The sequence below is a fragment of the Homo sapiens genome, chromosome 2 (genome assembly GCF_000001405.40).
Source record: "Homo sapiens chromosome 2, GRCh38.p14 Primary Assembly".
NCBI lineage: Eukaryota > Metazoa > Chordata > Mammalia > Primates > Hominidae > Homo > Homo sapiens.
This window is the reverse complement of record NC_000002.12, coordinates 236031726-236058071: the sequence shown is the minus strand read 5'-3', so window position 1 is coordinate 236058071 and position 26346 is coordinate 236031726. Positions and strand designations below refer to the sequence as shown.

The 26346-nt window shown below is 47.9% G+C and overlaps 1 protein-coding gene and 1 pseudogene across 4 annotated transcripts in view, besides 9 other annotated features; both read right to left on the bottom strand.

The window, feature by feature from the left end:
- AGAP1 (ArfGAP with GTPase domain, ankyrin repeat and PH domain 1) overlaps window positions 1-26346 on the bottom strand; it is a 637751-nt gene that overhangs the window by 73722 nt on the left and 537683 nt on the right. For all 4 annotated transcript variants that reach the window (NM_001037131.3, NM_014914.5, NM_001436125.1 and 1 more), the window contains 3 exons: window positions 21357-21511; window positions 17231-17321; window positions 8791-9013 (listed from right to left, as the gene is read on the bottom strand). In NM_001037131.3, coding sequence (NP_001032208.1) covers window positions 8791-9013; window positions 17231-17321; window positions 21357-21511 — 469 coding nt within the window. The remainder of the gene's footprint in view (window positions 1-8790; window positions 9014-17230; window positions 17322-21356; window positions 21512-26346) is intronic.
- Window positions 1859-4117: an enhancer, noted in NCBI's record as "VISTA enhancer hs921". NCBI's record gives its function as "enhancer in: forebrain[6/7] | limb[4/7] | branchial arch[5/7]" and the evidence as "EXISTENCE:transgenic organism evidence [ECO:0001131][PMID:17130149]".
- Window positions 1859-4750: a biological region, named in NCBI's record as "VISTA enhancer hs921".
- Window positions 4003-4750: an enhancer, noted in NCBI's record as "OCT4-NANOG-H3K4me1 hESC enhancer chr2:236961966-236962713 (GRCh37/hg19 assembly coordinates)". NCBI's record gives its function as "activates a minimal SCP1, AML or CMV promoter by ChIP-STARR-seq in primed H9 embryonic stem cells {active_cell/tissue: H9 hESC(primed)}" and the evidence as "EXISTENCE:reporter gene assay evidence [ECO:0000049][PMID:30033119]".
- Window positions 10754-11257: an enhancer, noted in NCBI's record as "H3K4me1 hESC enhancer chr2:236955459-236955962 (GRCh37/hg19 assembly coordinates)". NCBI's record gives its function as "activates a minimal SCP1, AML or CMV promoter by ChIP-STARR-seq in primed H9 embryonic stem cells {active_cell/tissue: H9 hESC(primed)}" and the evidence as "EXISTENCE:reporter gene assay evidence [ECO:0000049][PMID:30033119]".
- Window positions 11312-12091: an enhancer, noted in NCBI's record as "H3K27ac-H3K4me1 hESC enhancer chr2:236954625-236955404 (GRCh37/hg19 assembly coordinates)". NCBI's record gives its function as "activates a minimal SCP1, AML or CMV promoter by ChIP-STARR-seq in primed H9 embryonic stem cells {active_cell/tissue: H9 hESC(primed)}" and the evidence as "EXISTENCE:reporter gene assay evidence [ECO:0000049][PMID:30033119]".
- Window positions 12092-12871: an enhancer, noted in NCBI's record as "H3K27ac-H3K4me1 hESC enhancer chr2:236953845-236954624 (GRCh37/hg19 assembly coordinates)". NCBI's record gives its function as "activates a minimal SCP1, AML or CMV promoter by ChIP-STARR-seq in naive and primed H9 embryonic stem cells {active_cell/tissue: H9 hESC(naive and primed)}" and the evidence as "EXISTENCE:reporter gene assay evidence [ECO:0000049][PMID:30033119]".
- Window positions 14877-15788: an enhancer, noted in NCBI's record as "H3K4me1 hESC enhancer chr2:236950928-236951839 (GRCh37/hg19 assembly coordinates)". NCBI's record gives its function as "activates a minimal SCP1, AML or CMV promoter by ChIP-STARR-seq in primed H9 embryonic stem cells {active_cell/tissue: H9 hESC(primed)}" and the evidence as "EXISTENCE:reporter gene assay evidence [ECO:0000049][PMID:30033119]".
- Window positions 15789-16701: an enhancer, noted in NCBI's record as "H3K4me1 hESC enhancer chr2:236950015-236950927 (GRCh37/hg19 assembly coordinates)". NCBI's record gives its function as "activates a minimal SCP1, AML or CMV promoter by ChIP-STARR-seq in primed H9 embryonic stem cells {active_cell/tissue: H9 hESC(primed)}" and the evidence as "EXISTENCE:reporter gene assay evidence [ECO:0000049][PMID:30033119]".
- Window positions 20761-20822, bottom strand: RNU7-127P (RNA, U7 small nuclear 127 pseudogene; annotated as a pseudogene).
- Window positions 22702-23271: an enhancer, noted in NCBI's record as "H3K4me1 hESC enhancer chr2:236943445-236944014 (GRCh37/hg19 assembly coordinates)". NCBI's record gives its function as "activates a minimal SCP1, AML or CMV promoter by ChIP-STARR-seq in naive H9 embryonic stem cells {active_cell/tissue: H9 hESC(naive)}" and the evidence as "EXISTENCE:reporter gene assay evidence [ECO:0000049][PMID:30033119]".

Sequence of the window (26346 nt, the reverse complement as noted above, 5' to 3'; positions counted from 1 at the left end):
TGGGGCTCAAGAATATACCTTTCCATGTGATACTGATGCTGCAATAAACCATTATATACATACAAAGCAAAATAAACATGGGCCACATCTTCTATATCAGCAGGCCCTCCACAACCCCCGGGGAGGGCATGGACCACCTGTCCCTCTCACTGCTAGTATGCATGACCCAGGCCTCAAAGCTGATTGTATCTTCTGGATAAAAAGGAAGCCCAGGAAACTTCATAAATATTATTTTCTTTTAGCACTAACTCTACATAATTAAGTGGGTGGAAAAATGACTAGTCTCTTCTTAGAAATGAGGAATTACCCTGTTTTTAAAATTAAAATGGCAGAAGATGCTGGCCATGAAACCAGAACCAGGAACTCTATGGCCTGAGACATGGCTCCATATTGTACCATGCAGATAATAAATATGATTGTGAGGTCTCTGCAATACAGGCTTTATATTCCCAAAACGCAGTGTTGGGTCAGGGACATGAGCAGGATGTGGTTACGTGAAACACGGGGGTTGAGGGGGGGGCTCTAACCCTGCACTTGTGTGGGTGGATCTCAACATTTTACAGTTCTCAGTGCTGTTTTCTGTGGAAGCTCTTAGGATTAGCACTGATGGAAGAGAATTAAGACTTTAGAATCATGGCTGTGTGACTTGTAAGGTCGAGTTTTGGCCAGGCACAGTGGCTCATGCCTGTAATCCCAGCACTTTGGGGGGCCAAGGCAGGCAAATCACCTGAGGTCAGGAGTTTGAGACCAGCCTGGCTAACACGTTGAAACCCTGTCTCTACTAAAAATACAAAAATTAATTGGGTGTGTTGGCACGTGCCTGTAATCCCAGATACCTGGGAGGTTGAGGTAGGAGAATCACTTGAACCTAGGAGACAGAGGTTGCAGTGAGCCGAGATTGCACCACTGCACTCTAGCCTGGGCGACAGAGAGAGACGCCACCAAAAAAGTCAGGTCAGCTAAATGAATGTAAACTAAAATGGAAGAGGCTTTATGATTACTTATATTACTATAAGTGAAGCTGCTGTGAAGTGGAAAGACACTGTAGTTACATAATATGTTTGCACTACTCATTTAGTAAGTTTGACACACGATGGCTACTGAGATAGAAACTGACCAGGGGCGAGTGGGAGTGGTGCTGCTAAACATGGCGGTTCTCCCAATGCCGCTACTGACGTGGATTTGGCAGAAAAGGAACAGGAGCAGCAGCAGGACTGCAGAGCGGCATCTGGAGTCAGATCTTGGTGCCTGCAGTCTGACCTGCGCTCCCATGTGACCCTGGCACACGTCTGGGAATGGGGATAATCCAAGCACACAGGGCGCTGTGTGCTCCGGCCATGTTTTTGTCTCCCTCCTCTTCATTAAGAAGAAGAAAGAGAAAAGTTCACTAGAAGACAGAGAGTCTCTGGTGCAAAATAAGCAAAACACGACTGAAAGACAGGGCCCTTTGGAAAATGCTTGACTGCTGGAGGAATCAAAATAGAGGCCATATTTATTGGCCCATGTTATATAATTCAAGCCTAAAAAGGTTAATCTTCCCATTCCATTCCTTCATACACTCCCACAAGTAGACACAGGCTTGAACGTGGTCAGGGCACCTGGAAGCCAGTTGCTGCCTGCTGATGACTTGCCTTCTCATCTGCCAGGGGCAGTAAAAATTCTTAAGCATCAGAAACTCCTTAATTGTCACGACGGCCGTATTTCAGAACGTAAATGATAAGGATTTTCAACCCTAGACAGCTCTGCGGTAGCAAAGCCGGCTCCAAGCACACACTGGTTTCTTGCAGGATCAAACAAATAACTGGGGTTCCTGTGTGGCAGGCGGCATGATAAACCGAGAGCACCATTCTGTCTGTCTGGTTCAAAGGCAAATGCAAGTATAGTTATCCTTGAAAAAGCAGATCCCATTATACTTAACCTCATGGAGAATCTTCTTAGAATCACCTTTCTTATAATTAGAGCCAGTCTTTATGGAGAGCTTGCCTGGATTCCCACCAAGCTCCCTGGTGGAGGTTCACTAGATGCATTGCTCTATCTGTTGTCAACTGTAATCTGTAGGTATTATTTTAAAGGCAGTGTTAACGTACTTCTCATTTGTACATTTTCCTAATTGGCTTAATATTTATAGCAGAATATTTCTGATCCGGGCCCTGAGCTCTAGTAAACTGAAGCATATTTAGCAGTGTGCTAATGAGGACCATCCAGTCATGAAGGGTGGCTAAGTGAGTTATGGTTCTCTCAGTCTGATTCCAAGTTGGCTTGCTAAGAGAAGTTGCTAAAATATCTTAAGTAAGGGCTGAGGTCCCTGAGCAGCTGTTGCGTTTGCATAGCCGAGGATGTATAAACTTTATTGGTAGTAAATGTCACTCCTGCCAGCAGACGGTGTGCCTGCAAACCCACGGCTCCTCGGAGAAGGCTGCCACTGTCGTGGCTTGAGCAGGGCACAGTCCCTGCCTGGACGGGGAAACTGGGAGGGTGGACCCGCTCTGCGGCTGGGGCCAGGGCAGGCCCACTGACAAGCACGCCGCGGTGACAGAAATTCACTTTGAGTTGCAATTAGTGGTACTGTCATTTTCGGGGGCTCCTGCCAATTAATTAAGCCTGTCAAATAGAAAAACCACAGCGTTCACATGATAATTTATATTGGAAGAGACGAGGCTCACAGAGCACAGCAGCTTCCTCCACAAACAGAATTCTCCCTGAGAGCACTGAAAGAAACACATGAAAACAAGGCACATAAAGCCACACACAAAAGTGTGCATGTGTGTACATGTAGGGGGGTCTGCACGGCGAAGAAGAAAGTTAAACTGTCCTTGCTATAATTGTTAACTCTGATCGCCGGAGTAGAAGACAGGCTGATTAAAACTCCAAACGAGCCCCCAGCTCCCTGAACCCTCTGCATCCGGGATGATAGAATCAGAGGAGTTTATTCATACCATTAAGCCCCAGAGAACTTAATTGAAAGAAGAGCACAGCCCGGACCTTGACAAGCGGGAGGTCACAGTAATTGCTGCCGGACATATTTAACATTAAGATAATCAGGCCATTAATTACCCTTTGGATCATTAAATCAGCCAGTTGCAAAATGAAATTTCTGCCTCTATTACTCACTTGAGAGACCACAGGGGTGGCCTTTAATTTATCAGTGAGCTTGAGATACAAAGGCTGGGGCTGGGGGAGGGCAGCCGGGGAGGGGGCCCGGGCCCGGCAGTGGCGGCAGGGGCAGGGCATCAATCCGCCATGCTCGGTGATCGTGGCAAATTAACTAGGTAAGATAACCTCCGCTTCCAAAGGCAGGAGCTGGGGGTATGTAAATAGATGAGGGCAGACAGGGAGATCAGAGTCTGCACACCACTTAGCAGGATAATAAAGGAAATCATCCTTGATTATCAGTGCTAATTTGGACACTGCCGGTAGCTTGTTATGCGTGTTCTGAGTAGCATTTAATTAATTCAATTGCTTGTTAATGAGGAAAGTGACATGTGGGGAGCAGATGCCACCCAACTGCAGATGGACTCTGGTCATCGCGGCAAAGTCCTTTTTTTATTTTTTTTCTCCTTTCTCCCCCTCCCTTTTTTTTTTTTTTTTTTTAAGAAAGAAAATAGGAAAAGGTGTCAAGCATAGAGGAACACTCAAAAGAGACAAAACATTGACCTCAGCAGGCCAAGAACTGTTGAAAAATAATAAGATGAGACAATCCTGGGGCTGTGTGGGCAGTCGTGTTCCCTGAGGCCACATTTGGAACAGTGCATCTTTATGCCAGAAATTTGAGCCCGAGATTACTACATTGTGATCTTATGATCAAACCTAACAAGACAAAGACACAGCCAAGTGGTACTGCTTTTAATATCTCAGAGTTAGCTGTAGGGATCCAATTATTTTCAGTTTGGATACATTTCCCCTTTATCAATATCTCCATGTGCATAAATAAGATGAAAGTGGAGTTCCAGAATCAAAAAGAGATGGAACTCACATCACTGGGCAGACTTGTTCCATCTGGAAGTGTACGGCCAGTCTCTCCCACGTGGATTTCTGATGTCTGGCCCCAAATCTTCCTATCGAAGGCGACATCTTTTTATAGGTTAAAGACAAGAAGGGAGTTTAGGCACAGAGGTGAACTTACAAATAATGGGGGGAAGAAAAAGAAAAAGGATGCTAAAAAAGGGAAAAGAATACGTACTAAATCAGCAAACTCGGTTCCCTTCCAAGTGGCATCAAAGAGGTAATGGGTGATTTCAGTTGCGCTTAAAGCGCCTCTCAAGAGCTCTTTCACGGAATTGAAAACACTATTCTCCACTTCCAGGTTCCTTTGATTTCCTGGCCCAAATCAGCAGGCTCCTAAGCCGCCAAGTAAACAGGCTACCTGCACTGAAATGCAAATAGCAGCGAGTCCCTGCAGGGCCTTGGGGGCCAAATGCTTTGACACCAGGACACAAAGATGGGGAGATGCAGTGCCACGCAGAGCGAGGCTTCTGCCAAGAGGAATGTGGCGCCAGAGGGCTCTGCTCCGTCCTGCTAGGAAATCACTTGCACTGCAGCCAATCCCAAATGTTTTTAAGTGCAATGGGGACAACAATAAAGAACAACGGGCCAGGGCGCTGCCGTGCAGCCCCGGAAACACTGCTGTACCGCGAGGGAGAGAGGATGTGCGTGGACGGGTTTACTGAGACGGCTTTGCTGGTGCTGCAAACGTCAAAGCCCCGGTTTCACTCACATGAGGAATTCCAAGGCCCCGAAGTAGCAAGAGCACCTGACATGTGTTCCATGATGACGAGTTCCCGCTTTCACTCATTTACTCGTTCAATCATTCATTCATGCAGGAGACGTTCGCACGACTGTTTTAACATCTTCACCTCTGAGCTTATTACTCTTGCCTTTGAAAGGGTCACCAAGGAGCTTGGCAACTTCTCCTTACAGTAACACCATGTACCTCTAACACTGGAACCCAGAGCCCCGCCTGGCTGGTGGCCCCCGGCCCAGCTGCTCGACGCCCTACAACACGCTACGTTATGGTACCGCACACACGCACAAGCCGGGTGTTACGAAGTCCTGTCCTACACACAGCTGACGGCTCCCTTCTTAAACCCCTAAAACCTAGTTAGTTCTGTCCACTGTTACTACTTCACCACCACTTCAACATCCCCACTTAAAATCGATATTTTAAGTGTGTGCTTAAATGGTATCAATAGCAATTAGAGAGGGGAATTCTGATGCTACCCCAGATGTAGTTAATTGTTGTAGCATTGCTCTGTTTTCTAACGTGCTTCTTTTTCCAAATTAAACCCCCATTACAGAGGGGGACAAAGGGCATCCTCTCCCCTCCTGCGACAATAAATTTAATATCGAATGCACTGGGAAAAAATGGCAGTTGTTGCAGAATCCATCCAAAAAGATTTTTTTTTTCTTCCTGGGAGTAATTAAAAGATGCTTTTCTTGACTAATGATTCCCCTGTTTAGGAATGGGAAGTCAATACTGCTTCAGCCGCCGTCAGCTTCCATTGATCATGATGCTGCTCAAGTTTGAACGGCAGTTCTCAGGGCGGCAGAGATTAACTGGAACCAATTATAAGCCGTCCGAAGCTGCCCTAATCAGGGGTGCAGGGACACAGCAGAGGCCGGCTGTCCAGGGCGCCTGCTGTCCTAACTGGCCGCACGAATAGGTGACTCCAGTGTGCGGCGGTCTCTTTGGAGGAAGATCTGCTGTGTTCTACTTCCCCATGGTCTTGAATCTGTGTGTGTTTGTGTGTTTGGGGGTGGGGGCAGGCTGAACGACGCATTTCTAATTATATTCCACTGTCAGAATGAATCTTCTGCACAAGATGGAATGGACCAGAGCTCCTTGGGAAAACAGCTGGGCCCTTTTTCAAAGAATTACACCAAATATATTGCACTTGGCTTTTCCTTTGATAGAGAGAAAAATTTATTAAAATATTTCTTTTTGGTATTACCTCAGGGCCACATTAAAAGAACCTTCCAGCTGTTTCTACTAACAATCGTAGGTTCTGCAGAGAGACCAGGAGGGGCGGAGTGGGGCAGAGGGAGCGGGGGTGGCTTCGAAAGGCAGAATCTTCTCACGTCATGGACAGACCGGCTTGCGGAGATTCCAGCCCCGACTTTCACTTTTCCATTTTCTATTGAGGGGACGTGCAGGAGGTGGTGAAGGTGGTGGGAGTCTGAATTTCTACTCTGTTATCGGGCTGGGTGTGTTTTGCTTTGGACAGTGTAGTTAAGGCTTCCCGCATGCTCCACCAGGACCCTGGCCTTCCAGCGGGAAGGGACACAGACCTTGCTGGCTGCCTTTAGTCCTCTTGGGAACAGGTGGGACAGACAGAACCCATGAATAGACAAACCCTTCCCCTCTCCCCTGCCCCCAGGGTCGCTTTTAAGGTGCCAGCCCTGGCTCAGAGGCCCTTCCTGCTTCTGCTCTTTGGGCCTCCCCCATTCCTGCTCCTCCTCATTCATGGGAGGCTCCCGTCCACGGTGCTGTACTCGCCGACAGGCACACCTCCCCACAGGCCCGGCCGAGCCTGCATCCACCGAGGCCACTCCCACCCTCCAGCCCGCCTTCCCACCTGGTCCCCTGGCCCTGGCCCTGGGAATCACCCCCTATTTCAGAGTCCAGCTCAGATGCCATTTCTCCAGTGACACCTCCCAGAATGCACCCTCCCGAGCCCTGGCATCCTCAGGCAGCCCTGAGAGCCTTCACCAATCACCAGGGAACTGCAATCATCACTCACCGTTGCTTTTCTACGAGAAAGTGTGCAATGATTATTTGCTGATTTTCACTGAAAACAAAACTCCCCAGGAAAATTACTACAGGCACAAAGAAATATTCAGTTCTCGTATGTGTTTATCTTCTTAGGTGCAAAGGGAACTTAGAAATTCCACAGTTACCTTCAGCAACAGCACAGAACCACATCACCAACACCACAGTCTTGGAGAGGAATTACAACTCGGCCTGCTCTTTAGGAAAGCCAGTGTGACTAAAGAAAAGATGGGACTTAACTGCAACCACTGCACTTGGGAGTAAGCAAGTCTCTGCAATAGGTCTCTAAAATATAATGATGTGATGTATGTAACACTGGAAAAAAGACAGGGCTCTGCACTCAAGAACTTAATTCAAGGATGCAAATTAGAACTACAAAATACCTGTGCACACACAATCTTCATTTATGAATGAAGATGAAATTATAAAACATTTATCAGGTAAAACATGAACCCGTATCTTTGCTTCGAATAATTCCAAATGGTTTCTAAATTTTAATGGATGGATAAACAAACTTTTCTAATAATTCATGATATTAAAAATAGTGAATGTGCTTCTTTTACATATAAACAGTAAGATGCATAGATTTTTCCAGCTTATTTCAATGTTTTCTGCATTCATATATTAAGCTCAATCTAATTTCCAATCATTTTTCATTTTCAGACCCAAGTTTCCTCCAATGTTATCATTATCTGTGAAAAAATAGATATTAAAACATGAATTCATCTTTTAAGCTTGTTCACAGTTGATGACCCAGCTGATTTCTATGGTAGCATTAAACAAATCAAGATAAATACTTTTTAAAGTGCATAATTTCTTCGGTTTGTAAGAAACTTACCCCTGTCTACACTATAGAGCATAACTCATAAAGAGGTCGCGTATCAAAACCATGCAATTTTAAACAAATATGTTCTTTGCACCTTTCCTGTCCTCCCCACTACCAAAGAATCCCTCATACGGAGAGCCAGATGAGTAACACACCAGCTTCATTCTCTCCAGTGAGCCAAAGGTGGCACCACAAATTCATTTTTCAGTGTTAATGAACTGAAGTCCACGAACGCTTCTCACGTTCTTACTGCTCTGCAGTAGAAACCGGTTTCTGTGGCGTAACCACAGATTACCACTTGAACTTTCATTTTATCTGATCAGCAGCAAAACAAATCAGAGGAACCTAAAAAGTACCAGTGATGGGAGACCTCTCCTCTCCCTTCATCTCTTCAGACACCTGAGAGGCAAACACGGACAGCAAACCTCAACCTCCCACTTCCTATTGTGGGTGAAAATGAGCAACCCTGGAAGCCACTTGCTTTAGACAAGTACGGAGATGAAATGCTCTATTCTGCCTCCATGCCATACGCCTTCTCAGAAGACACTCCATTTTATCACCCCTTAGGAACATTAAATATGCATGTGTACTCAAAAACAGTTTATAATAGCTGTAAATGAAAAATGAGAAACTAAATGGCCTCAAAATAAATGCGTTTTTTACACTGGATAACAATTAACATTAATGAGGAGTTACATCATACATTATGCTGAACTTGGTTGACTAAATGTGTTGAGATATATTTTAGAAAATAAAATAGATTTTGTTACCATAAAAATAACTTTTGTGTGATGGTGCGGGGGGGGGATCGACAGAGCAGATGCTTATCCAAGCTATAAGAATAACAAAATTAAAGGATCAAAAATTCATAATTAGTGTTAACGGCACAGCTTATGCCTATTAGAAATGTATTAATTAAAGTAATATATTCATAAGGTTAGAAGCTTAATACATTTCTAAGAGGGGGGAGAGAAATCCCCAGGCCTAAAAACAAACATAAAAAATTAAGGAGTGTGAATTATCCACGTCTGCTCAAGACCAACTTTAAACACAGACATTCCTATGCCGGATGAATCGGAATTCCCGAATTCCTACAGGTTATCAGGGCCTTCCCAACCGTGGCTGTCATTATGATCACTTCCAGTTGCCTAACTGTTGGCAAACGTGTCGGGAGCCAGGCATCTTCCAAAGTTCCTACCTTGTGGAGTCTACCGATGGTTTCGTCCGCCCCTGGCTGCTCTCTTCCCAGACGCTGTTGGCTAGCTCGTTCCCGATGGATGACATCACCTTGATGAGCTCGACTGGCCAGTCATCCAGGTCCAGAGATCGGACTCGGGAAAGGTGGGTGCCAAGATTCCGGTGGATCCCTGAGCATTCGATGCACATGAGGGCTCCCAAGTTCAAACTGGCCCAGTTGGGATCTACGGGAAGAGGAACAGAACGCTAAACGCAATCAGACCATCATGCATCATTCCAACCGTTCTTAGAAACACAAGGCGACGAATCAGTCAAACTTCACAACGACAGAACCACATCCATGGCGAGAAAAAATGCTCCCTAGCCAGTGCTCAGTCCTGTTTCAGGTGTCCCAAATGACTGGCCGTTGGTAGTAGCTTCAGAACACATTTGGCTGAAGCCAAAGCCTTGGAATTTCCCGCACAATAAATAATTGACAGCGTTGGTTTGGATAGAAAAGATGCACTTTCCCATATGTCACAGCAGCATTCACCTTGAGAGGGCTGACCTGTGTGGGAAAAAGCACGTGTGACTCGGCATCCACTGTGGACAGCTGCTGCTGAGAGGGAAGGAGAAGTGGTGCTGAGGGGCAGCTGGGTGACACCGTGACTCTGGTCATTCCTTCATTGCTACCTCTGCAGCCACTGGCACATCAAAGTTTCCAGTAGGTACACAACGGGCATGCTTGCAAATTTCAAAGATGAGAGAGAGGTACACTACAGTGAAGAAATATCGTTTTCAGTGATCTTATTTAACTATAGCTACTGAAGCAACTGCACTGCAGGCAAGTTGGTGGGCAGGGCCCTTTGGTGAGGTTATCACGCAGCGCAACCAACGCTGACTTGCAGAATGAATGGTGACAGGCTTTGGGCTGTGAAACTAGACCAAGGACTAGTGCAAGGATTGTGCAGGACAAGAAATGGATTCAGACAGCAGCACTGGGACCCCAGAACTGGAGCACTCACTGCGTGAAACTGGCTGGCATCATCAGAAGACCAAGAACTCAGGCCCGGGTTGACTTCACGCTAGAATCTACAGCTGATGTGCAGAGATAGGGTTGACCTTGATAGTCACTGGCTTTCACCACTGTTAAGTAAATACGGCTTACTCACCTGGGAATAGGCAATGCTTACTCTGGACACACCTGAAGAGTCAACAAAAGACCAAGTAGCTTAGGTCACATTTGACTCACTGGGGAGACATCCTTTGTTTTATAAATGGCAAGTAACCAGCAATAGCCTTACGCCAGTTGATCAGAAATCAGAAAGCCAGTCCTTTATTTAACATCTACTACATATGCAAGAAGGCAGTGATAGATACCACAAGAAATGTGAGAAGAGGCTGGGTGCGGTGGTGGCTCATGCCTGTAATCCCAGCACTTTGGGAGGCCGAGATGGGAGGATCACCTGAGGTCAGGAGTTCGAGACCAGCATGACCAACATGGTGAAACCCTGTCTCTACTAACATTACAAAAAAATTAGTTGGGTATGGTGGAGGGCACCTGTAATCCCAGCTCCTTGAGAGGCTGAGGCTGGAGAATCGCTTGAACTCAGGAGGCAGAGGTTGCAGTGAGTGGAGATCCTGCCACTGCACTCCAGCCTGGGTGACAGAACGAGACTCCTCAAAAAAAAAAAAAAAAAAAAAAGAAATGTGAGAAGAGAGGTCTGTGACCTCAGAGAGGTTCTGACTGGGAAGGGGAAACCTATGCATCAAATGAAAAAAACCCAAGCAGAAGAGAACAGAGAAATGCAGAGACTCAACGCTGAAAAGCGCAGTCAGAACCAATGCACAGGTGGCACGAGAAGGAAGAGGGCAGCGGGGACACAGAGGAGGCCCTGGCCTGGGGCTGTGGAGGGTGGAGGCATGGCACACAGCTGGCGTGGACCCCTCCTCGCCTGTGCCTCTCCCTTTGTGTCTGCACAGCCCACCTCCCCACTGGCTCCCTCTGCTTCTGCACCTCCGGATCACTGACAACCAGGCCTCTACCTCCTGACCATGGACGCAGCACAACCAAAGTCACTAGCCTGTTCCAGGGCGAAACCCAAAAGACCCCTGTGGCCAACGTTTCACTCGGCCTCTTGTGGGCTGGCCACTGCCCCACCCCTCCTCACAACACTGAGTACTACTCTTTTTTTGAGATAGGGTCTCTTGTGGTGGCACAATCACTGCTCACTGCAGCCTCAAACTCCTAGGCTCCAGTGATCCTCCTGCCTCAGCTTCTCGAGTAGCTGGGACTACAGGTGCACATCACCATGCCTGGCTAACTTCTTACATTTTTTGCACAGATGGGGTCTTGCTATGTTGCCCAGGCTTCAACCACTGGGCTCAAGCAATCCTCCTGCCTGGGCCTCCCAAAGTGTTGGGATTACAGGCATGAGCCACTGTGCTGGGCCAGTGCTAACTTCTGATACCTTTTTGGTCAACGACCTCTCTGGATTTTTTCCCCACTTTCCTGGTTGCTCCGTTGTGATCTCTTTCCCAGCTCTTCCTCCCTGACCTCAGGGCTCCTGTGGGGTCATCTCTTCTGACTGTGTAGTCTTATTCAGGCCAACCCAACCCACACTTCAATCACCACTCAGGCACTAACACCTCTTCCTGGCTCCTGAATTATTATATACGCAACGACCACGTACATTTCAGTTGGGAGAATCTCCTAGTCAACATCCACTCTGCAAATGCATTCTTCTGCCAGGTCCCTCCTGTCCCAGCTATTCAAGCTGGGACCCCAGGGGTCCACCTTAATTCTTCCATCATTCCCACAGCCAATCACAAGGTTCTCAACCTCTCATAAGTCCAACGCTTTCTTCTCGAACTTATGCTCCCATGGGCGTCCTCACCAGCATCGCAACTGGGGTGCAAGGGGCTCCTGTCTGCGGCCTTGCCCGTCACTTCCCTGCAGACCTCTTCACACAGCAGCCAGGGCCCCACTGAACACGGCATCTCTGATCATGTCACACCACCGCTCAAAACCTAGCACCTCTCCTGCTCCCTTATGTCCCAGCATCCAGCCCATCACCGAGTGCTGTGGGGAGTGCTCTGACACACTGTCTCCACTCACATCTGGATCCCCATAGCCACTTGCCTAAGCTCTTACCAGAACCTCCGATTTGGTTCCTATGCCCACCCCACCGCCCTCCATGCCGCTGTGGGTTGCAGATACAGAAGCCACTCATGCTGGCCCCTCGTTCAGACCGTGGTGCACCCCCTCCTACCTCCCCCCAGCAGCTCCCAGGCTGTCAGGTCCAGATCTGAAGGACGACATTCATGCGTGGGACACATTCCTGTGCCGGACTCCGAATTCTCTGAAACCCAAAATGTTGCAGGGGGCGGGGGCACAGTGTTCCAGGGCCCCATGCTCACCACCCTCTGCTTAGAGACAGGTAAGGCTGGGGCTGACTGAGGGGAGAACCTTGCCTCCGCTCCAGCAGAGAATGACTCATCGGCAAGGGTTGGTATCTAAGCATCACCACTGCAATTTCCTTGAAAGATGCCTTAAGGCCCAACTGGGACACTTCGCTGTGTCTCGGCCTGGGTGGAGAACCTCGGCCTGTGGCTGATCCCAGCCTCCTGGCACGGACTCAGACCTCTGCACTGTCTCCTGCCCCTCCACCTGGCTTCAGGCCCCGCTGGTCCCACAGCCCCAGGGCGGCCCTGCCTGCTCTCCAGGCCCTCACACCTGTGTGCGTGCCACCTGCTAGCACTGCCTTTCCACCTTTGTCCTCTGCAAGCCTCTTGCTCTCCGGGCCTCAGCTCCCCTCCAGAGAAATGAGGCTAATAATTCCCATCCTCAAGGGGCTGTCAGAAGGATTAAAAGCTACGAGGCACTTAGAGCAGTGACTGCCCCACGGGAAGTACAGTGTTAGGTGTTGGCTGTAATTACATCTGTTCCTTCACGTATTCAACCAATATTAACACACTGGCTTCTGGGGATACAGCAGTGAACAAAACGGAGAAAAATCCCTGCCCACAGAAATGCAGGACGTAGATTCTATGAGGACAGACCAAGCAGGAAAAAATAAAAAAAACTAGGCCCAGCACAGTGGCTCCTGCCTATAATCCCAGCACTTTGGGAGGTCAATGGGGGAGGATCGCCGAAGGCCAGGAGTTTAAGACCAGCCTGGGCAGCATAGTGAGACTACCTCTCTACAAAAAATTTAAAAAATCAGGTCGGCGTGGTGGCACGCACATGTAGTCACAGCTGCTCAGGAGTCTGAGGTGGGAGGATTGCTGGAGCCTAAGAGTTCAAGGCTGCAGTGAGCCATGATTGCACTGCTGCAATCATGGACAGGCCCCGAGAGGCAGCCTACCCTTTCTGCTGCACTCCATCCTGGGCTATAGGGCGAGACCCCATCTCAACCCGCCCCTGCCCCCGCCCAAACCAGAAAAGAGCTAAGAAAATTCTAGGATACACCAGAGCCAGGAAGCCCCCAGGGCAGAACAGCAGGGAGTAGGGATGTGTGTGTGTGTGTGTGTGTGATTTCAAACCTGGAGGTCAGGGAAGGACTAAGAGGCGACAATGGGAAGGAGACCCGACGTTGCGGGACCGGAGGTTCTATTTGTGGGCCAAGCTAAAGATGAGAGCCTGGATGTGCTCCTACTGTAGGTTGTGGTGAGCTATCTGGTGGTAGTGGTGGGTGCCAGTCCCCTCTTGTGTGCAGGCCTGGGGTTCACAAAGGGAAATAAGGCAGGATTCTAGACATGAGAAAGGCCCAGGAGAGAGGGGCACCTGTGAGGTCCACGCAGCAGGGTGGGAGGGACCAGCGCACGGTCAGCTCCAACCAGGGCTTCATGGGCGACATGGATGGGCAGAGAGAAAGCAGCAGAAACGGTGAGCTGCCTCTCAGGGCCTGTCCATGAAGGTCAGACCTGCTGGTGAGAGCCACTGAGGGTCCCAAGCCCTAGGATTCTCAGGGGCCCTCAGGTGTGGACTTTCCTTGGCATGTTCCTGGCAGAAGGCAGGCAACAGGCACCCTAAACAAAGGCCCCACTGTCCGATGGGCCTGGGACATGCTGGGTTGGGCCATGCTGAACAGGTAGCTTCAGAGCAGTACTCCCCGGAAGCACAGGTGTCCGAAGGCTGCAACTTCCTGGGAGTCGGACGTTGTTAAGAGTTTCCCAAATTCACTGGCTCTCAGAATCCCTTTATAGACAGGCACCCCCAAAGCTCCAGAGGCTCAGCGTCCACTCTGGAAACAGTGCTCTGGGATGTGCCCAGTGAGCAGACAGAGGGGGCTCCTGGCGGTCTAGAGCATTCTCTGCAAGAACTGGGGGTCAGGGAGCTGTTACCACAATTCCAAATTCCACGCTGCATGAAAATCCCCAAGCCTCAAAAGACCCTACCACTCAGACACAACTGGTGCTAACCTTCCAGAGTGCAGCCTTACAGATCTTTCCCCTCTAAATACCTGTAAATACTCGTTAGGTTCATCTAGACTCATTGTCATACCCCTTTTTCATTTTACAACACATTATGAAGTTTCTTTATCTCAATTAAGCACCCCCCCCACTTTTTTTTTTTCCCTTGAGACGAAATCTCACTCTGTCGCCCAGGATGGAGTGCAATGACGTGATCTTGGCTCACTGCAAACTCCGCCTCTCGAGTTCAAGTCCTGCCTCAGCCTCCCAAGTAGCCGGGATTACAGGCATATGCCACCATGCCCGGCTAATTTTTGTATTTTTAGTAGAGATGGGGTTTCACCACGCTGGCCAGGCTGGTCTCGAACTCCTGACCTCAGGTGATCCGCCCACCTTGGCCTCCCAAAGTGCTGGGATTACAGGCGTGAGCCACCGTGCCCAGGCTCAATTAAGTCTTTTTCCATGATTTTTAAAGGTAGCAAAGACAAGACATCACCATGAACTGCTCTTCAATTGTTAGACATTTGGGATGCTTCTGATTTTTTGCCATGTAAAGCACTGTGATGAACATCTGGAAAGACAGATCTCTGCACCCGCCTTACTCAATCCCATTGGTTTAGTTCCTGGAGTATACAGCTGGAGTCAAGGGCATCCACTCTTCAAAAGCTTTTTATATACATTGTCGAAAGGCCCCATGGAGGTGTTTACAGTTCATCATCAGTGTGGGCACTGTACCTATCCCGGTACTTTAACCAAAATTGGGTATTTTTACTTAACAAATCCTTGCCAATGTGCTACATCTTCTGAGCCTTTCCATTCTTGAGAAAATACAGCAGGCTGGACAACAGATGGGTTTGAATCCTGCTTTGGGACTTGCTATTTCTGTGACCTCAGACAAATGACTTGACCCTTCAGGCTCCTCAATTCCTCCCCTTTAAGTGGGGCCCACAGGGGCACCAACTACTAGGGTTGCAGAATGAAAAGACAGCGCATGGGAGGGTTTGGCACCGGGCTGACACAGACCACACATTTAGCAAATGCGTGCTTGGTATCGCCTCTTTCTCCTGAATTGTCAAACTCTGCCTTTTCCCTTTGTCCCTGTCCATCTGCTCAGGTGGTCTTGCTCAGAACAAACTGGCCCACACCTCCCCTGCACTGGCCTCCCTTTCCCACCCCCCATCCGCACTCACATGCACAAGCTCATCTCAGACAGGACCTGCGACCTCCGATTTGCCAGGTATCATGGTCCCCGCAAGCCACGGATGGCTTTCCTTTTAAAGCGACCTTCAGACGCACGGTGGAAACAACTGCAGGCATTTTCCTTAATGGATGTTCTAATATTTCTCAGATTCGTGCTTTTAAAAAAGCTCTTACTTTTAAAACTTTTTGATAGAAACACACTTCAAATAACTGCTTCTCTCTTCGAACTTCATTTCACCACACATTTGAAAGTAAAACTTAAACATTCAAACATAAGGAGGTACTTTAAAGAAGAACCTCAAGATACCTGGAGAAGAACCCCTTCCCTCACCCGCAGGACAGGCTTCCAGAGAGGCCGCAGACAGACTTTTGATCTCTCCCCTGCCTGCTATGCTGCTGAGTGGACTCTTGGAGGGGGCGCTTCCTTTCCCTTTTGTCTGGAGCAGTCCTGGGCTCCTGTCTCCCTTCCCGGCCAAGCCGACCCTGGCTGGCCTCCTCCCTGCTTTGCCTCTATTCCAGTATGTTCAAAATGGTCTGGCCAGATCCATCTCCCCAAGTGGAGCTCAGGGTCCATCTCCTTCCTGCTCTAAAACTCCAATGATGTCTCTCTGCTTACAAATGAAGAACAAAGCTGGAAAAAGTTTCACTTGGCACTCACACTCCAACTAGCTTCTACTGGTTTTCCAGCCCAAAAAGCATCTCTAATCCTACAACCACCCAGAGAAGCTCTCCTCAAGCCACTCCCTTTGCTCACAGTGATTCCTTCGGCCCCTTCCCTGTACAAACCCTGCCCATCTCCAGAGCCCTGCTGACACGACAGCTCCTGCATGGGTGGCAAGACCGCCGCATGCCCCCGATGGCTCTCCCCAGCGCTTAGCTCCATGGTCAGCAGGTTGGTGCCTTGTCCAGTGCATTTCAGGCTTCAGGATGGCAGGACCCACCACGCCATGCACGTTTGACTCCTGGGCAGCACCCAGCCTGGTACCAGCACCTCTTACCTTGTTTGAACTGAACTTCCTTCTCTTCAAAACACTACTTAACAAAAAAAATCTGAAGGGAAGAAATTTACTGAATGTCTCCAATACTGTCTCTGGGCTGGGACTGCAACCATGAAAATAAGTCCCTACTCTCAAGATTATGAACAACAAAATGACTTTTTCAAAGGGAAAGTAATAGTATGGATTAGACAACGGAAATCATGAAATAAAACTGGGGTACTCGATGGCACAAAGCAGTAATTACAACTTCTATCAGTTCAATCAGAGGCTTTAGTGGGTAATGGATTTAAGACCAAAAAAAAACAAGACATCATTTGATGGCAAAACCCAGAACATATGATTGTGAATTTAAAAAAACAATACCCAAGAATCTCTAGGCAGGAATGAACCAATTATATTCTATTTTTATGAAAAAAAAAAAAAATCAACAAGTGATCACTGATTAAGCAAAAAGTAAGCCAGCTGCCACGCCTAGTTAATTTTTAATTTTCTGTAGAGACGGGTTCTCCCTGTGTTGCCCAGGCTCGTCTTGAATTCCTGGGCTTCCTAGATTTGGCACAGGCTGTGGGTGTGGGGTTGAATCCTTTGCACCTCAGGTATGACTGCTGCTCATCGGATGCCTAAGGCAAGGAAAGACTCACAGAAACGCACCCTGCAGCCAGGGGTGAGGCTTGTGTGGAAGGCACTCTGTTAAGGTAAAATCCAAACAAAATATCTCAATTTCCTAAAAGCAGTTAACTCTTATCTGCCAAACAGGACAGATGTGAGTCCCCTGCAACCCGGGCCTAGTGGGACCATGTGGTCTCCAGCTACACAGCGCCAGCCCCTGCTACCACCGCACACACTTACTCTGGGTCTCGCAGTCCACACAGTGGGAGTTCCCGCGCATGTTCCGGATCGACTGCAGGGCCATGGCCTCGCTCTGGCTCGTCAGCCGGGACTGGGCACGGAGGAAGACACAAATACAAGGCGTAAGCACCCCGGGAGAAACGCACATCACTGATAACATCAGGGAAAGATCAAACAGATTGGGAGCAAATGTAGGACGAGGGTAATTTCTAAACAATCACTCTTGTTTTGATGTCTTTGGGAAAGAGCATAACTGAAGAAGAAATCATCATGCATGGGGCGGGGGGAGGGAGGAAATGTCACATTTTAACTCATCAGCTGAGACGGACTCTGCCAGAAATGAGCAAAGAGGAGAGTTCTGGATCATCTGTGAATACGCATGGACCATGGTAACCTGGAGAAGGTAAATGGGTAACCTTCTGGGCAGTAGCCACATGTCTACTTGGTAAGAAGAATGAGAAAGAAATAATCCGTTTATAAGCCCAGGGTTAGGGCTTCATCAGCAATGTAAGACATATCTCATGGTTCCTTGTCAGAAAACCCCATTCATACCACACGTCACCCTGGGAGATGCACATGTCATCTGAAGACCCTCGGTTGCCACAGTGACAAAGCCACTCGCCAGGGTGGGGGCAGGGAGAAACACGAGTATAGCTGGGAGTGCTGATTCTTAACCTTACACTTGATGGCTTGCTTTATTTTTATTTATTTATTTATTATTATTATTTTTTGAGCCAGTGTCTCGCTCTGTGGCTGAGGCTGGGGTGCAGTGGTGTGATCATAGCTCACTGCAGCCTTGAACTCGTGGGCTCAAGTGATCCTCCTGCCTTAGCCTCCTATAGTGTTGAGATTACAGGTGTGAGCCACCACACCTGGCTCTATGGTCTTCTTTAAAAAGGATTTAAAAACATACATGCTCATTGAAGCAAGTTTAGAAAATACAGAGAGGGGAAAAAGAACATAAAATTAATAAACAATCATACGGCCATCCATAGTTAAGCATTATTAACATTTTGATGTCTGTTCTTTTAGCCTGTTGTTTAAGCACATCTACATACACATATGTACTTTAAAAAGCCAGCGTAATACATATTGCTGCATAGAAACCTGCCCTTTCCAGCCTAACGAAACTTGTTCATTGCTCACTGCTGTCACATACTCTCTGACATCATCATTTTAAATGGCTGCATAGCATTCCACTTAGTGAAGACCTACTTATCAAGTTCTCTTTGATGGACATTTAAGTTGCTTCCAATTTTTCTCTATCATAAACGATGCTGTAAGAACATATGATTGCTAAGTCTTGGTACACACTCATGATTATTTACTAAGAATAGATTCCTGGAAGTAGAAGTTCTAAGTGAAAGGATATGTACTGGATATGTACCTTTTTCCCCACCTAGAGAGAGGGTCTTGCTCTGTTGCCCAGGCTGGAGTAGTGCAATCATAGCTCACTGCAGCCTCCATCTCCTGGGCTCAAGTGGTCCTCCCACCTCAGCCTCCTGAGTAGCTGGAACTACAGGTGTGAACCATGCACCTGGCTATTTAAAAATTTTTTTGTAGAGACAATGGTCTCCCTATGTTGGCCAGGCTGGTCTCGAACTCCTTGCCTCAAGTGATCCTCCCACCTTAGCCTCCCAAAGCACTAGGAGTACAGGCGTGAACCATCGTGTCTGGCTGATATGTAGTGTTTTTGAGGCTTATTTATTAAGTATGCATTTAATATTATGGTTAAAGCAAAAATTGATCAATTTCAGAGGACAGTTACAATAAGCTTGATTTTTGCGTAAGAATTCTTCATAAATTGAAACATCTCATCAAATTGATGTGAAATAATATATTACTTGCTACATAATAAATTATAATGTATTAATCACTACTGTCTAATTAGCATCATGCGTTATTGAATTTTAATTCCCTTTGGTTAGATACCCAAGTATTCAAAATATGTTTAAACAGTTTACACTGGCATCTGGAATGCAAGTGTGTGATCACACACACACACACACACACACACACACATACAAAGGGATGTGCCTCTGTCTCTCTGTGTACCTGTATCATTTCTGTGGTTGGTTGGTTTGTCTGTCTGTCTAGCTATGCCTATACCTGTATCAGCTCTCAATTATCCACTGGCAGGTAAAATACTATAAAGCTGGTGGTCAACTGGGCCTGTATTTTTGCCTCCCGCTACTCCTTGTGGACAGTATTTCCATGTTTTATGCCCTCACACCTGTTCAACCAATGCCCACGATGACCAGCTCTGAGTCGGCCACCTTTGGTTGCTCAACGCGTCCTCCTCCCAAGGGAGCAATTCCCTGGAGAACAGGCGCCTAGTGAGGGCCGAGGGCAGCATTCTAAGGCTGGTGTGTGCATGAGCTGAGACACGAGTCAGGAGGAGCCTGGCAAGGTGTGGAATGGGAAAGGCTGCCACCATCCCAGATCTTCCTGAATTAGGTCGAGGTGGCAGGGGCTCAGAGTCTGCCGTGAAAGACTGTGATTTCTCCATGAAGGCAGGAACCTGTGCCTCTCTGTTCGGTAACACAGCCTGCCTCCCTGCCTTCCTTCTCAGAATGAGCTGCCCACGCTTGGAGGATGCTGTGTGCTGTTGCTTCCCATTGAGGTGGCCCCAAAGCACCCTGTGCTCGTTTCAGGAGGCACATCATGGATGCATGTGGACGTGACCCAGTAAAGCCAGGGTGTATGGAATGAAAGGCAGTGGTTCTCCCCACCTTGAGTATAAAACATCTTTTAAAAAGGGAAGCAAATTACATTATAATAATAATGACTGTGGTCTGGTTTACCCTGGTTAAAGAGGGTAATAAAATAAGACACTTCATCTTTCTGAAAGACAGACTCTCTTTTTAGTGACAAAGCTGCACATAAATCATAGGCAGAAATTTCTTTAAATGGTTACAAATGAAACTGCAGGTCGGTGGGTAACATCCTTTCTCTTAGTTTCTAGTTGATCATAGTCTGAAATATCAAAATGCTCTCCAAAAGTCTAAGACGTCCCAGCAAAGAGGTTAAAGACAAACAAACATTAAAATAATGAAACTGAAGCAATCCTTGATGGGAAAAAGGACTTTTGTAGAAGGAACATCACTGGGCAGTAGCCTAGAGAACACAGGTTAAGCCAGGCGTGGTAGCTCATGCCTGTAATCCCAGGACTCTGGGTGTCTGAGGCAGGTGGATCGCTTGAGCCCAAGAGTTTGAGACCAGCCTGGGCAACGTGATGAAACCCCACCTCCACAAATAATATATATTACATAAATAAATATACAAATAAATAAGCAAGCAAGCCAGGCCTGTAGTCCCAGCAACTCAGGAGGCTGAGGTGGGAGGATTGCTTGAGCTTGGAGGTTGCAGTGAGCTAAGATTGTGCCACTGTACTCCAGCCTAGGTGACAGAGATAGACTCTCTCCAAAGGAAAAAAAAATACAGGTTAAAATATTTTTCCTTTTCTAGCTAAGTAACTACAAAAAACAAATTGCCTCTCATTATTTTTTTAATATAGAAACATTTGGGGGTGGCGTTTTCTGGTGAGAACCAGAAAACCTGCTGGACAAATTCTAAAAGAGCTGCACCACCACCTCTAATTATTGAATAAAACACATACCAGGCTTTATCAGTTTAGATAATAGAAACTTTATCTTCCCAAACTCCCTGCACGCTCATACAGACCCATCTACTTTTCATTTATGTCCCTAACAAGAGACGGTTTTCCAACTTGATGTCGATTTGAATTCTGGGCATTTACTTGAACAGTGCATCTTTTAAGTCCGTCTCTCTTTTTTTCTGAGTGTATTCTGTCCAAAACAAAAATAAATGTGGACCCAGAAGCCACAAGAGTCCAAAAGATTCCCTCTGGGATTGGCTGACAGACTGAAGATTTAACCTTGGCTCTCCTGCCAGGGAAGCACGGTCAGGCTGGAATACTCATGTATGATGGTATAGACACAAAGTGCTTCTGATCGTTTTAGTTATTGAGCTTTCTGCTCATAAAGAATAGCTAGGTCCTGTCATTCACACTGGTCCTCTATTTTCTCCTCCCTGGGGCATTACTTGGGGCCCGCACTCCCCCTGAGCAGCCCCAGCCTTGGTTTTGGGCAGCCAGGGGCCTCACCTTGTTCTTGCTGCTCTCGCACGACTGCAGGCTGGCCAGGATCTGGCTCTCGATGGCTTGGACCCAGGCGTCCCGCTCCTCATACGTCGTGGCTTCAAAGTGCCATGTTTGGCCAGTGAGGGACACAATGATAAACTCAAAATTTTCTTCTTGTTCTGAAACACAGAGTGTGGGATGAAGAGTTTAGCTTTTATGAGACAGCAGTCCCCCTGCGGGCCCTCTGTCACAGAAGCGCCTCTGGGTTCAGCTGCCCCTGCATGGACCGGTGAGGCGCACGGCACTGGACAACCACGGCGGCGGAGATTTGAATCCATGCACCTCCCAACAGTCCAGATGTGGTTCCTAAGGCCAGCATGACTTAGCCAGGTTTCAATCAAGGCTCAGGGCACAAGGCCAGATGAAATCAACGAGTGATGTCAGCGTCTCTGTGTGGTGCACACACAAAGCAACTTAGGAGAATAACCATGTAACTCATGGCTGACCATCCTTATCTGTGGGACGAAAATTAAGTTAGGGCCGCTAATCTCCGGCTGCAGGGTTAATTTCTATCTAAGCACTCGCGTAGATCCACAGACACTCCATGGATAGAGGAACGCGGGAAGGTTCTGTTCTTTTATGGCAGAGGACCTGTTACCGTGGGAGAGGCATCAATTCCCACGTTTTCAGACAGGGAGAGTGCATGGGATCCCGCGTGCCTTAGGAGGATCTCAGCTGAGACAGGCCCCAGACTTGGTAGCTACTCTGGGGCCATGTCTGCAATGGGAAGAGAGGAACTTGGGGGTATACCCTGCGACCCCACCTGCCACATCTAAGTCTTTGGGCAAGTTCCTGGACTCCCCTGAGGTTCATTTTTTCTAACCCATAAAATGAAGGAAAAGGGCACCGACTGTCTAATGCTTTTCTGCTAGTTCCATGAAGTGTACAGACCCATGCGGACTTGGGACCTGGTCCATAGGAGACACTCCACAGATCCACGTCGGCCTCTGTTCATTATTCCTGTCCCTACTCCCGGCCCCCAAGTCCCCGCCAAAGGAGGAGGCACCACTGGCAAAAAGCATAACTAATTGCATACAACCACGAAGAACTGTTTTTGAGATGGAGTCCCACTTTGTTGTCCAAGCTGGAGTGCCATGGTGCAATCACAGCTCATTATATCTTCCACCTCCCAGGCTCAAGCGAGCCTGCCTTCGCCTCCTGAGTAGCTCGGACTACAGGTGTGTACCATCACACCTGGCCAATTGTTAGACATTTTTTGTAGAGATGGTGTCTCCCTAGGCTGGTCTCAAACTCCTGATCTCAAGTGATCCTCACTCCTTGGCCTCCCAAAGTGCTGAGTGACAAGTGTGAGCCACTGCACCAGACCCTCATTAAGAAATCTTCAACTAGGTTTTCAGACACAACATCTCATTTGACTCAATGTTTCCGGGCCCTGGCCTGTGAACTAGCTGCATTATAATCCCCTGGCGAGCAACTATTATTAGTACTGACTTTCACCTACCTGCCTGCCAACCACTTTACTTATCTCTGTCACCAGCCCGTGGCCATTGGGCTGGCTCATGTCTACTGCACGGACCTCTGATCTTCCAGACTCTTGGTCCCTCTAGCCCAGCTTCCAAGCACGGCTTACTGACCTCACCTAGACTGGCTCTCCCAGGCCCTTCCTCACAATGCGCCTGCAGCCTGGGACGTGAGGACGTGCCACCCCACTCACCCTTTCCCCACTCCTTTCTGGCTGGGTGGATATGCAGCCCTCTTTGTGGCTGAGAGATCCCTTCCACCTGAGCAGCCCAGTGATGCTCCCAAGCCCCACTCCCAGGGGTGTGGGGACAGCACCCAGCCAGAGAGGGCCCATGGCCTCCACCAGCCCCTCAGTGGTCTGTGACTCCCTAGGTGCTGACAGCCACTGTGCCCTGGGCATATTCTGGGGGCTGCAGGAAAGTGCTGTGATGCACGTGCTGAGTGGAGGTCGGGCCTGAGGCCCTGGCTGGTTAGCCCCGCTTGGGGTGTCGGCACTGAGACCCACCCTGTCCTTGAAAGGGACCGATACGGGCTGGAGTGGGAGGGGAGAGAAGAGTCTTTGGAGGAAGCCCTCAGCTGGCCCACACGGTATGGGGGTGTCCTTTGTGCTCTCAGTCACCCTGGTTCCCGATTTCTGGAGAGCTGGTGACAAGAGGTCAGGATGGGAGGGTCTGGTTGCTCAGGAATTTTATCCCAATCTACTGGGCTCTTGAATTTGGAGAACAAATGACCACCCCACCCCCGCCACCTGTGTATTTATGCAGAATGAAACACTCCACCTGCTGTGGAAAGAGGGGTGGGGGAGGAAGGTGGGGGTCAGGGTGTCTGCAGGTCATGCCTTCAACAACGACCTTAAACACTCAGGGACTTGGAGATTTCATTAAAAAAAAAAAAAATCATTGTAACTGTAACTTTCACATAGGTTTCACCATGGCTGACTTACAATGATATCGTGCAAGTACTGGCTGAGCCATTGCATCTGTGGGTCTTGGTCCAGCTTCTTGATCCATGGGCTTTTAAGTCCTAGTACTATGATTTACAACCTTTTCCATACAGATTCTCATAGGATAGTGCCCCAATTCATGTATTTTATGCAAAACTCTCCTAGTGAACAGATAGGTAAGGTATGAAAAAACTACATAACTCACAGTTAGATCATAAGGAAAACTTGGTAATTCATAGGTGGGATGTGACAATTTTTCATTATGAGATCAACTCGACAGGCTCACACTTTGTTTAATCTGTGAAATTCAAATGCATGTATCAAAGCTCCCTCTGATCAGCATTTATTGGATCTTCTAGTGAAAAAAATTACAACCATTAGCTTCCCGGTTAAATTTCTGCACAACTGGTCCCCTGTAAAGCTTTCCTGCTCAAATGTCTGGCTCTAGCCAGTCATGAGCTACAGTCACTGGAACTAAGGCTAAGAGCTGAGCTTGTATTACACTGTATGGGTGCAGGGCTCGGTCACTGTGGTCCTCAGCTGCCCTCCCCAACGTGCTAGGCACTGGGCTGGGTGGAAGGGATTCCAGCATGCAGGAGAAGCCTGTGCCCTCTAAACGTGTCTACGTGGTGAGGACGGGCACACACTCAGGCAGATGACTGAACACAAAGTGATAAAAACAATGGAAATCTGAATGAAGCTCCAAGGGAACGTCTCTATTTTTTGCCTCATCCCAACGCAGTAGCTGCTATCTGGTATCTTGCACTGTAATACTCTCAGTATCTCATGCAAAGACAAAACTTGCAAATTAAATTGCTAAAGCGCAGTTTGGCTCTGCCCGATTAATTATGTAAACAAATTTTACCTATGCATGCAAACTCTACTTAGGGGAACAAATACATGTAAGTGTTCACAGGAACATCAGAACCCATTTCGAGCTAATTTCTAAATGTGCTCCCTACAGTGGCTGTTCTATGGCTTCATCACTCACTCTATTTATTTATTTTTTGAGACAGAGTTTCGCTCCTGTCGTCCAGGCTGGAGTGCAATGGCATGATCTCAGCTCACTGCAACCTCCGCCTCCCAAGTTCAAGCGATTCTCCTGCCTCAGCCTCCCGAGAAGATGGGATTACAGGTATGTGCCACCATATCCGGCTAATTTTGTATTTTTAGTGGAGACAGGGTTTCACCATGTTGGCCAGGCTGGTCTTGAACTCCTGACCTCAGGTGATCCGCCCACGTTGGCCTCCCCAAATGCTGGGATTACAGGCATAAGTCACTGCACCTGGCCGATCACTCACTTTAAAAATCTATCCCACCACCTGTCTTCTCCGTATACTGGACAGAAGAAAGTTCCCTTGTCTAGTATCTTCTATGTCACTCAACATTTCTGTCTCTCCTTTCAGCTCCTGGTCCTTTCCTCCCGTCTCTCTGCATCCTTTACCTGGTCCCCTCATACCTTCTTGCGGACCTGGATTTGGCATGGTTTCCTCACTCTCTTGCAAACTTCATGTCCCCCTTCTACAGACCTCCTGCACTCACTTCCTGATCTCACTCCATCCTTGAGAGAGATCATCACCTCTTTTCTTCATCCTTCACTCACACAATCTGCAAAGCAGACACGTGCACGCGTGCATCCAGCTCTTTACCACCCTCTCTTTTCTAATAATGCTTCCCCATCATCCACCTGATTGAAACCTCACTCTGTAAGATTACAGATCAAGGAACAGCCAGGGGCCATGGGCTGTGCTTAGTCTTCTTTCTCACTGACCCCCCTCTTTCTGGAGCACCTGACGTTGCTGATGGGCACCACCATCTTGCAATATTTTCCCCCTTAGTCTTCTGAGATGCTTGATCACCCTGAAGACTCACCCAGATGTGAGCAAGGCTTTTATCAGGGTGAATGAAAGAGATGTGAATAGAGTTATATGGATTCACAGCTAAGGGGTACTAAGCAGCATAAACTAGCAGAAGGTCTGCAGTGGTCAACCATGGAACTATTACCTCTGTCTTGCCTCATTCAATATTCAATGTTTTATCAATGACTTGGATAAAGACATATAAAGTCTGCTTACCAAATTGTGAAAGCAAAGAGTTTTGGGGGATAGCAGATAAACTAGGGTTTTATCCCCATCCCCAAGGTCTAAAAAGAGGAGGATCTCTTAGCTGAACTGACAACTCAAATGGTCAAATGCATGACTAGAATTCCTTCTCTTGGACCCCAACAGCAGGTGAGGTTTGGGAGAAGATTTTGCTTCCCAACTACAAATATGAAAAGGCTGAAGGACTGCAGTGAACGGCAGGCCCAGAACGAGGCTCCCAGTGAAAGTGAAGGCTGTGAGTGTGTCACCCACAATGGTGGGGAGGTGGTCCTGTCTCTATCACTCAGGGTGGTGGCCAGCAGGCACCACAGAGAGAGCCCAATGCCAGGGACTGCTCACTGGGGACTCTGAGCACAGGGAACTTCTGTCTGATGGAAGAGGGATGACACCTGTTCTGGGTGCCCTGGAGTCAACCCAGGACAGAAAA